Below are 12,062 nucleotides of genomic sequence, written 5' to 3'. Positions count from 1 at the left end.
GATTGCACCACTGCACTCCAGCCTGGGTGACAGTGTGAAACTCCATCTCAAAAAAAAAAAAAAAAAAAAAAGGTGGAATGCCCTTCTCACGGCATCCTAGCAGCGGGTACATGGCACGCCATCTCTGGTAATGTTCACACTAATCATTTGGTTAAGGTGGTGTCCGCCAGATCTCTCTACTCTTAAGTCACTGTTTTTCGCTTTTTCTACAACATTCTTTGGAGCCCAGGCTTGTTGTGGGTGGGGAGATTAAACTCCACCTCCTGGATGGGGATGCATCTAATATATTGTTTGGAATCCTTTGTAGGGAGGAGCCACCCTTTCTCACTATTCAATCATAATTTACATCAGTATGAAAGTACATATATTTATTTTGTACCTTGGGTTATAATCCGATTATTTGTTCTTTATTTTGTTGCTTAAATGGTTCCAGCTTTGCCCATCTGAAGCTCTTTTGGGTTGGCTCCTGTGTTCTTTTGACATGCCATAATACTTCTGTTTATCCAGCACTTCCTTACTTTCTGTTAAGGGTGTTGCTCAGGCCGGGCGCGGTGGCTCACGCCTGTAATCCCAGCACTTTGGGAGGCCCAGGTGGGCGAATCACGAGGTCAGGAGATCGAGACCATCCTGGCTAACACGGTGAAACCCCATCTCTACTAAAAAAATACAAAAAATTAGCCGGGCATGGTGGTGGCCGCCTTTAGTCCCAGCTACTTGGGAGGCTGAGGCAGGAGAATGGTGTGAACCCGGGAGGCGGAGCTTGCAGTGAACCAAGATCGCACCACTGCACTCCAGCCTGGGCGACAGAGCGAGACTCCGTCTCAAAAAAAAAAAAAAAAAAAAGAAGGGCATTGCTCTGTCTCTCAGGCCGGAGTGCCATGGTATGATCTTGGCTCACTGCAGCCTCAACTGTTAGAGCTCAAGCAATCCTCCCACCCCAGCCTCCTGAGTATCTGGGACCATAGGTGTGCACCACCACACCCAGCTAACTTTTTAAAAATTATTATTTGTAGAGATGAGCTCTCCTTATGTTGCCCAGGCTGGTCTTGAACTCCTGGACTCAAGCAGTCATCCCACCTCGGCTTCCCAAAGTGCTGGGATTACAGGCATGAGCCACCACACCTGGCTGCTTATCCAATTTCTATCTCAAGAGGACATATGTATTTTTACTTTTGTATCTATCTCAAGAGGACTCTATTTTTACTTTTCACCCAGTTGCCTGCCATCATATAGCTACCAATGGAGTCAGACTCAAATGGCCCATCCCCACAAAATAGCCCCTCATTCCAGAGCCAGCTCTCATAAGGATGGGAAGGAGTCCTGTCCTCATGGTCTGGCCTTTGTCTTCTGGGCATCCTTTCTCTGGTCTCTGGGTGCCACCCTTCCCCCTTACTATGCTGGTAGCTCCTTGGTCACTTTAGAGCTGATGCCGGCACCTCCTGCTGGATGGGGTGTCCTTGCTCAGAAACCTCTAGGTGCCCTGGCTGGATCATTAGCGTCCACAGGTTCCCCTTTCCCGAGGGGCAGGTGTGCCCACAGGTGCTGCTTTGGCCACAAGGACCATGAGAAACCTGGTCTTTGCTCCTGCAGGAAAAGGTCATTCTAGTGTTCCTCCTTCGCAGCACAATCTCTTCCCACCACCAGGGGCTATTGGCTTCCTGGTCCTGCAGTCCGAAAGTGGCCCTCAATTTAGTGTCATGGCCTGAGCTCTGCCTCCGCCTTTGGGGCTGATGGTAGTGACTGGCCACCGTCCCCCACAGCCTGTTGTAGAGGACTTTGTGGTGAGGGTGGGAGCAGGCCCCGGCTCCCTTCCACTTGTCCCTCCTCTGCACCGGGGCAAAAGGGCTGTGTCACTGGATCTTTAGATCTCGCTCACTCTGCAAGTCAAGGACACAGAAGACACATCCAAGGGACATACAGGGCTCATAGATCCCAGACGCTTCTGGATTAAAGGAGAAAGAATCTTGGCTGAAAACACCCTGGAGGATGAAGCATGAAGGGTCTTATTGAGGAGAGGCTGTGTGGAGAAGGTGTCCTCACTCTTCCTTCTGCTCAAGACCTTACCAGGTGGGGCCATGCTGAGGGCACGTGGGGTGAGGTGCTTAATATGTGCTCCATCCTGGTATGTAAATCTGAGGCAGGTAAGTCAAGGAGATAGGCTCTAATTGTGCACCCACTGTGTACCCAGCACTCTGCTGGCCACTGGGGGAAATAACAGGGCAAGGGGAGACCTTTCTCCTGTCCCGATGAGCTCATGGTCTTAAGGAAAAGGTAGGATGTGCAGGGACCACCCTGGGAGCATGGGTCCCGGTCATGCAGTTCAGACGTTCAGGGCCCGTGTGACCTCTGTGGGCTGGCACCTCTTGACAAAGGCTTCCCATAGGCTGGGGATGGGGAGGGTGGAGAGAGCGGGTGGTGTGTGGTGTTTAGGAGCAGACTCTGAGTCTGATGGTTACTGAATCTCAGTGATCTCTATCCAGATGTGTGTTCTTGGGGGATCCACCTTGCTCCTCCAAGCCTCCACTTCCTTGTGTATAAAAACAAGAGAAATAGTTGCAAGATTACTGTGAGGATAAAGGTGATGTTGTCTATATAATGCTCAGCTGGGTGTGTGGTGCACAGCAGCCATTCAGTTACTGGTAGTAGCTGTCATTGTTATTTAGAAAGGAAGGGCCTTTCTAAAAGGGTGTCGAGGCTCACACCTGTATTCTCAGCACTTTGGGAGGCCAAAATGAGAGGATTGCTTGAGCCCAGGAGTTCGAGACCAGCCTGGGCAACATAGCTAGACCACCCCCCCCATCTCTACAAAAAATTAAAAAATTGGTGGAGCATGGTGGCACGTGCCTGTAGTCCCAGCTACTCAGGAGGCTGAAGTGGGAGGATCACTTGAGCCCAAGAGTTCAAGGCTGCAGTGAGTTATGATTGCACCACTGCACTCCAGCCTGGGCAATAGAATGAAACCCTGTACAAAAAAAAAAAACCCTAAATAAATAAAAAGGAAGGCCAAGTCCAAGGCCACCTGCTCCGTCTACTCTCATCCCCCACAATCTCGATGCTGCATCTTCCATGGTGCTCCTGGAAGAACAGGACCACAACCCTGTTCCCTCCTGTACTTGCCTCAGATTGGAGCAGGCACAGTGGTCTCCTCACCTGTTCCTCTGGAAGCACAAAAGGCTACAGTTGAATGGTAGACACAATAATGACCCCCAAAGATGTCTGTGTCCTAATCCCTGGAACCTGTGAACTTGTTATCTTCATATGGCAAAAAGGACTGGTAAGGACCTCTGTAGTTGGGAGAACATCCTGTATTTTCTGAATGGGCTCAATTTAATCACAAGCATCCTTATGAGAGGGAGGCAGGAGGGTCAGTCAGAGAAAGAGGTGGGACAATAGACACAGCGTTGGAGGGGCAATGGCAGAAGGAGACCATGAGCTCAGGAGTGAAGGTGGCCTCACTCCTGGGCTCATGGATTCTCCCCTAGAACACAGCCTTGTCAACGCCTTGATTTGAGACCCATTTCAAACTTGTGACCTCTAAAAGTATAATACATTTGTATTTTGGAAGCCACTAAGTTTGTGGTAATTTGTTACTGCAGCAATAGAAAACGAATACAAGTGTGTTATGAAAAATGACCCTTTCCTGGGCTGATTTGCCTCTTCTTGGGATGAGCCAAACCTAAATAGAGACCATGTTGCAAAGGGGCATGTTTTTCTTTGGGATCCATATTACAAACTTGTTACCCTGGGGTAATTAACGTTGACGCTTTCATTTCCACCACTTCCACATCAAAAGCAAATTTGTTACATGCATCAATCCTACTTGGATGGAGGCAAACTCGGTTTCCCTTCTTTGGAGTTCTTGCCAACTCTCCTTGGAAGGCAGTAATGATCTGCCTTTGCTATTTAGAGCATCTTCATTTCCTGAATATCAAGATGACAACAATATCCTATAGATATGTCCTCTGCAACCTGAAGATTTATTTTCACATGTTGCTTTTTCTTTCCAAATAACAAAGTGTCTCCAAGGGAAAGGCAGCTTCCTGGAGCTGGGCATGCGGGATGGTGGAGTTGGTGTGTGTGTGCGCGTGCCTGTGAGTGTGGGGGCTCCATGTGTTCTCAGCCTCTCCAGAAATAGATGGGCTGAGCTTTCAGTGAGTTTGAGGATGCCTTGAAAAAACAAAACAAAACAAAAAAAACCCTGCTCTATTCTTTGGCATTGTAGCTGGTTTAAGATTAAACCAGAAATATGTCCCTTGATGTAAGGTTCCTCTGCCAGCCAGTAGGACTCTCCACAAATAGGAGTCCTTGGTTATCTCACAGACGTGGCCAGTGAAAAAACTGGCAGAACCTCGGTCCTTCATCTGGAGCTCATGAAGCCACATTGGAATGGCACACGGGAGTTTATGTAGCAGTACTTGCACATGTATAATCTCAAACCTATGAGGTAGATGTTATTATTCCCTTTTACAAAGAATAATTACTCTTGTTTTCCTTGTTTTTTTGAGACAGGTTCTCGCTCTCTCTCCCAGGCTAGAGTGCAGTGGTGTGATCATAGCTCACTGCAGCCTCAAATCCCTGGGCTTGACCGATCCTCTCATCTCAGCCTCCTGAGTAGCTAAGACTACAGGAACACACTACCACTCCCACCTAGTTTAAAAGTTGTTATTTTTAGTAGACACAAGATCTTGCTATGTTGCCCAGGCTGGTCTTGAACTCCTGGGCTCAAGCGATCCTCCCACCTCAGCCTCCCAAAGTGCTGAGATTACAGGCATGAGCCACTGTGTGGCTTTTTTCCTTTTTCTTTTTTGAGAGCTTGAGATTCGGCAGGGCCTGTGTTAGGCTCCTTCCTTAGTTACTTAGTACAAGTACCTTACGTACTTAGTACAAGTTGAGCATCCTTAATCTGAAAATCCAATATCTGAATGCTCCTAAATCCAAAACTTTTTAAGCACTGACATAATGCCACAAGTAGAAAATTCCATGCCTGGTCTGGCATGGTGGTTCATGCCTGTAATCCCAGCACTTTGGGAGGCTGAGGCAGGCGGATCGCCTGAAGTCAGGAGTTCAAGACCAGCCTGTCCAACATGACGAAACCCTGTCCCTACTAAAAATACAAAAAATAGCTGGGTGTGGTGGCACACACTTGTAATACCAGCCACTCGGGAAGTTGAGGCAGGAAAATCCCTTGAACCTGGGCGGTGGAGGTTGCAATGATTGTGCCACTGCACTCCAACCTAAGTGACAGTGAGACTCCGTCTCAAAAAAAAAAAAAAAAAGGAAAATTTCCACACCTGACCTCTGACCTCATGTGATAGGTCACAGTCAAAATGCAGTTGCACTACACACAGTTTATTTAGCATCTCCGATGGGGAAAAGGCCCTCCCAGCCCCCTTCAGCTGCAATATATCTTTTCCACACATGCCCAGATTCTCCCATGCAAGCATGCCCACAAAGAGTAATGAAATAAAAACTTTGGTTCATGCACAAAATTATCTAAAATATTGTATACAATTACCCTGAGCCTATGTGTATAAGATGTATATGAAACAAAAATGAATTTCGTGTTTAGAGATGGGTCCCATCCTCAAGAGATCTCATTATATAATATATGCAAATATTTTAAAGTTCAAAAAATTCTGGCTGGGCACAGTGGCTCACACCTGTAATCCCAGTGCTTTGGGAGGTTGAGCTGGGCAGATTGCTTGAGCCCAAGAGTTTGAGGCTGCAGTAATCTATGATGGCATCACTGTACTCCAGCTTAGGTGACAGAGCTAGACCCTGTCTCAAAAGAAAAAAAAAAATCCCAAATCCAAAACACCTCTGGTACCAAGTATTTCAGATGACGAATACCCAGCCTGTATAGTGTTTGGGAGGCCAAATGTGGGAGCCAAACTGCCTGGGTTTGAGTCCTGGCTCCCCCTCTTATCAGCTGCATGGCTTTGCTCAAACTTCGTCACCTCTCAGTGCCTTCGTTCCCTCCTCTGTTAGGTATCCTGGAGATGGCTGTGAGGATGATGTGAGATGATATTTGTAGGGTGCTCAGAATGGTGCCAGGCATGTAAGAGGAGCACACTGCATCCTTTCAAGACAGGTATTTGTAGCTGGTGCTCAGGTTCCAGTTGGACTGAACTCACGTCTGAGTCTTGCTGGCCTCTCCAAGAAAGAATTCTTTCTCCCCATCAGAGAGAGAGTTTTCTCCTGTGTTACGTTGTTTGGCTGTGAGGCAGTAACTCTAATTGGATTAGTCTGAGTCTTGTATAATCTGTGATGATCAGCTGATTTTCAACAAGGGCACCAAGACAATTCAATGAGAAAAAAGAATAGTGCAACTCCTTTGGAAAACAGTTTGCAGTTACCCCAAAATTAAATATAAACTCATCATAGGACCTAGAAATTCCACTCTTAGGTATATGCCCCAAAGAACGGAAAGCAGGGACTCGAACAGATGTTTGTACACCCGTGTTCATACCAGCACTATTCACAATAGCCAGAAGGTGGAAACAACACAATTGTCCCCACCAGATGAATGGATGGACAAAATGTGGTCTATCCATACAATGGAATATTATTTAGCCATAAAAAGAATGAAGCGCTGATACACGCTGTAACATGGATGAGTCTCGAAAACATCAGGCTAAGCGAAAAGCCAGACATGAAAGGCCACATATTGTAGGAGTCCATTTGTTTGGGATGTCCAGAACAGGTACATCCCCGCAGATCGCAGACAGGCAGCTGCTCAGAGCCCAGGGGAGGAGAGGAATGGGGAAGAACTGTCTAGTGGAGGTAGGGTTCATTTGGGGTGGATGAAAATGTTTTGGAACCAGGGGAGATGGTGGCTGCAAAACACTGTGAATGTTCTAAATGCCACTGAGTAGATTGTTCACTCTAAAATGGTAAATCTTATCTTAATTTCATCTCAATAAAAAATTAAGGCGGGAGAATCACTTGAACCTGGGAGGCAGAGGTTGCAGTGAGCAGAGATTGCGCCATTGCACTCCAGCCTGGGCAACAGAGCGAGACTCTATCTTAAAAAAATAAATAAATAAGACAATGATTACTCATGTGAGGATATGATGATGGAAAGAGGACAGTGAAGGACTTCTGGGTTGCCAGTTATGTTCTGTTTCTTAATTAGGGTGTGGAATATACCAGTGCATTCACCGTGTGTGAAAATTCATCAAGCTATGCACATGATCTGATGCTTTGCTGAATGTATATTATACATCTATAAAAAAGTTAACATGGAAAAAAAAGTGCCCAAGACAGTGCCTGGAGCATATGAGGGCTCCACAACTCTTCCTCTCCACCTCTGCCCCCCAGCTCCCTTGCCAGTCCTCCTCCCTCACCTATCTCTCTTCCTGTTTTCTTTCAGAAGTGCAGTTTGGAGAGGAAAGAAGCCGTATCTCAGTCCTTTCACCAATAGCTGATGTAATCTCAAGAGAGTTGCATTTCCCACAGTGGAGACTTCACACATCACAGCTAAATCCTCCAAGACGACTCGGCTGTGGAATCCTAATGAAGAATGCAATAGGTAATCTACTGAGGGAGGAGTTTACAAGACTCCAGATAGCAAGAAAAATGGGCGTGAGTGTTTAATATTTGAAAGGTTCTTTCTGCCCTCAATTATTAAACACCACGCTAACTGGTACAAAATATTCTCTTAAATCATTTTCATGAAAGTTTCAAAAGAATTTTCTTCTATATCAGGTTGCTTATGAGCAGGAGCTCATGCAATTCCTCTCCAGAGGTGGAAGGCCGAGAACCCTGCTTGGGCCGTGGTGGGTGGCGTGAGGAGCTCACAGCGGAGCCTTAGGAGGCCATTCTGTGTGGATTTGTATCACCGCCCTTTTCATCAATGACTCCAAGAAGGAGCTGCAAGTACCACAGGCTTCCAGATCTTCAGGTGTGGCCTGGGACAGTGTGCGTGCCTGTATTCTCAGCTACTCGGGAGGCTGAGGAGGGAGGATCACTTTGAGGCCAGGAGTTTGAGGCTGCAGTAAGCTAGTGTCACACCACTGCATTCTAGCCTGGGTGACAGAGACCTCATCTCTAAAACAAACAAACAAATAAAACAGCTGTGGAGGACGCACCTGCTGGTAGCTCCCTGTTTACCATATTCTGCCCACTGGGGTCTCTTTCAGACCCTCAAGCAATCTCTTTCCTGCCCTGAGGCCTTTGCACAGCTGCTCCCTCTGCCCGTGAGTCCCAACCTTCCTCCTGTCTGGGCATTCTTCCCACCCTTCAGAGATCAGCTGAAGCATCTCCTGGCAGAGAAGCTGTTTTAAGGGGACCAAGGATTTGTTTCCTCAGGTCTGGTGAGACTCATGAGCATGGGACTGACTGTCATGAAGGAGGAAGTTTATATGCGCAGGTCCCTAGAAACAGGAGGCCCGGCACGCCACTCAGAGCCGCACGGGGAGGCGCCACGTGGGTCAGGAGGCAGAGGGGGAGTGAGGGAGCGGTGGGCAAGAGCCTTTGCTGTGATTTCCGTGGGAAGGAAGGAGTGGGGCAGGGTAAGTGGGCTGAGGATGGGCTAGTTTGGATCATCTAAAGGCTGTAGGGCACAGGGACTCTCCCTAGTTGTCTGGTACCTGGGGTGATTAGGGCAGGAGAGAGTGGTCCAGAATATGACAGCACCATACAGGAGGTGGTTGGGGTGTTGGCTCTGGATGGGTTGGTTTGCATTTGAAAGGCTTGTTCACTTGCAGGCGAATTGTTTACTCTCTCTAGGAATTGACTCACCCTGGGAGGGGTAGTCCCTCCAGGATCAGCAAGACCCCAGAGCAAATGCATCAGAAGTATCACAAATAAAGGGCGTGCTTAGTCCAGAGACCTTCCCATAAGCACTCCATGTCTCTATAATGTTTATCATATTTCCTCTCTCTCCTCTAGTTTTGTCAGTTTCCTACACTAGAACACAAGGTCTGGGGGAAGGGGCCACATGTGTGTTTACTAATGCATTCTGTGTCTAACTGCTGTCTGGAACTTAGTAGATGCCATTTTTTCTTTTTTTTCTGTGAGATGGAGTCTCACTCTGTGGCCCAGGCTGGAGCGCAGTGGCGCGATCTCAGCTCACTGCAAGCTCCGTCTCCTGGGTTCACGCCATTCTCCTGCCTCAGCCTCCTGAGTAGCTGGGGCTACAGGTGCCCGCCACCGCACCCGGCTAATTTTTTGTATTTTTAGTAGAGATGGGGTTTCACCGTGTTAGCCAGGATGGTCTCCAACTCCTGACCTCGTGATCCGCCCACCTTGGCCTCCCAAAGTGCTGGGATTACAGGCGTGAGCCACCGCGCCCGGCCTTCCAAAATTTTTTTTTTAGAGACGAGGTCTTGTTTTATTGCTCAACTTAGTAGACAAGGCTGGAGTGCAGTGGCCATGCACAGATAGGAAAACTGCATGCCACACCCTCAAACTCCTGGTCTCAAGTGATCCTCCCACCTCAGCCTCTGAGAAGGTGGGACTGCAGGCATGCACCATGGCACCCAGCTCTCCTCTTCTCTTTTCAAATTGGCTTTTTTTTGGGAGTGGGGCCCCGAAAGTAGCAATAGAGAGTGGGAAGGTGACACTATTACCAAAAAGGTGTGTTAGATGCGTCATCTCCAGCTGAATTTTTTCTAAACCAGGTCTCTACTGGAAAATAATACTTGTTCTAATTCCTGTAGAATTAACTCCCTGACCACATACTTCTCCAAAGTAGCCTAATGTGCGGCTGGCATTTTCCCAAACATAGATTAACTCCCTTTGGCTGTGGAGCCAAGCAAGTGACTTCCTGGACCAGAAGAAAACGAAGACTCAGGGAAGGTGGGCTGCCAGCCCCCAGCTGCAGAAAAAGTGTAGAAAAGAGTCAATCAGTAAAACAAAAAGGGGGCGGACATGGGAGGGGTGTGAAGGGGCCAACCTGTCCCAACACTGGTTATTATCATTGTTTTGACCTTTAGGAATCCGATGTGTGAAAGAAATGTAATTGTTGACTTCACTTGTATTTTCTTTGTTTACTAGTGAAGTTGAACTTTACTTTTTCTTTTTTCTTTATTTTATTTTTTTGAGATGGTGTCTCCCTCTTGTCGCCCAGGCTGGAGTGCAATGGCAAGATCTCAGCTTGCACTCCAAGCTGAGTGCACTTATTGCAAGCTCTGTTGCAAGCACTTGTTGCAAGCTCTGCCTCCCGGGTTCAAGCGATTCTCCTGCCTCAGCCTCCTGAGTAGCTGGGATTACAGGCTCCTGCCACCAGGCCTGGCTAATTTTTGTACTTTTTAGTAGAGATGGGGTTTCGCCTTGTTGGCCAGGTTGATCTTGAACTCCTGGCCCCAGGTGATTCACCCGCCTCGGACTCCCAAAGCACTGGGATTACAGGCATGAGCCACCATGCCCAGCCTATTTTATTGTATTTTTTAAGTTCTGGGATACATGTGCAGAATGTGCAGGTTTGTTACATAGATATACATGTGCCATGGTGGTTTGCTGGACCCATCAACCTGTTGTTTAGGTTTTAAGTCCCACATGCATTAGGTTTTTGTCCTAATGCTCTCCCTCCCCTTGCCTCCCATCCCCGGACAGGCCCCGGTGTATGATGTTTTCCTCCCTGTGTCCATGTGTTCTCATTGTTCAACTCCCACTTATGAGTGAGAACATGAAGTGTTTGACTTTCTGTTCCATGTTAGTTCGCTGAGAATGATGGTTTCCAGCTTCATCCATGTCCCTGCGAAGGACATGATCTCATTCTTTTTTATGGCTGCATAGTATTCCATGGTGTATATGTGCCACATTTTCTTTATCCAGTCTATCATTGATGGGCATTTGGGTTGGTTCCAAGTCTTTGCTATTGTAAATAGTGCTGCAATAAACATACGTGTGCATGTGTCTTTATAGTAGAATGCTTTATAATACTTTGGGTATATACCCAGTAATGGGATTGCTGGGTCAGAACTTTATTTTTTGTTGAGTGTGTGTGAAAGATGCTTATTGGCCAGATTTTTTCTCTGGTGACTTGCCTGTTTGTATCCTTTCCCCATTTGTTGAAGGGAGCGTCCATTTTCCTTATTAGTTTGTAAGGACTATTTACATTCTAATTTCCAGGCTGGTCTGCATGTTGTACATCACTTTTTCTGGTTCATCAGTGCCAGGCAACTTCTTTCTGAATGGCCACGTTGAGGTGGATGTGCAGTTATTTACACACTATCAGTCAGCGTAGGTGTGCATTTCTATGGTTGGAGCCAATTTTTGGATTGCATGCTGGCAAGGAAAACTCTTGTCACTAGGGATGATAAATTTGCTTCCCTCAAGTGTCTTTGAATGAATGGGGCTGAGAGTACTTTATGGGCTTTACCAGCTCTTAAGACACCCTTGCTTGTTGGGTGTGAAGAGAAATATTGGGTAGTTCAAAGCCCTGGGTGACAGGGAGAATAATGATGAGGGCTTAGACTGGGAGGCAGAAGCTTCCTAACTTGCAGTGAGATCCCGGTAAGAAACGGAATTTCTCCAGGGCTCATCTAAAAAGTAAGGCAGTGACATTTAGGGGGTTGGACTGGGGGTCTGCAGCGGTTCCCTTGGGGAGACCAGTGAGTGTGGAGAGCAGATGTGAAAGGGAACTTGTACTGTTTCCTTTCTATACTTCTGTTCCACTTGGGTTTTATTTTATTTTTTATTTATTTATTTTTTTTAAATTGAGTCTCACTCTTGCTGCTCACTGCAACCTCTGCCTCCTGGGTTCAAACAATTCTCCTGCCTTAGCCTCCCAAGTAGCTGGGACTACAGGTTTGTGCCACCATGCCTGGCTAATTTTTTTTTTGTATTTTTAGTAGTGACAGGGTTTCATCATATTGGCCAGGCTGGTCTCGAACTCCTGACCTCAGGTGATCCGCTCCTCTCAGCCTCCCAAAGTACTGGGATTACAGATGTGAGCCGCTGCACCTGGCCCTTGAGTTTTATTTTTATTTATTTATTTTTGAGACAGTGTCTCACTCTGCCTCTCAGACTGGAATGCAGTGATAAGATCATTCCTCACTGCAACCTCAAACTCCTGGGCTCAAGCGATTCTCCCACTTCAGCTTCCTGAGTAGCTG

The sequence above is a fragment of the Homo sapiens genome, chromosome 1, assembly GCF_000001405.40.
Source record: "Homo sapiens chromosome 1, GRCh38.p14 Primary Assembly".
Classification (NCBI taxonomy): domain Eukaryota; kingdom Metazoa; phylum Chordata; class Mammalia; order Primates; family Hominidae; genus Homo; species Homo sapiens.
This window is presented reverse-complemented; position numbering follows the sequence as displayed.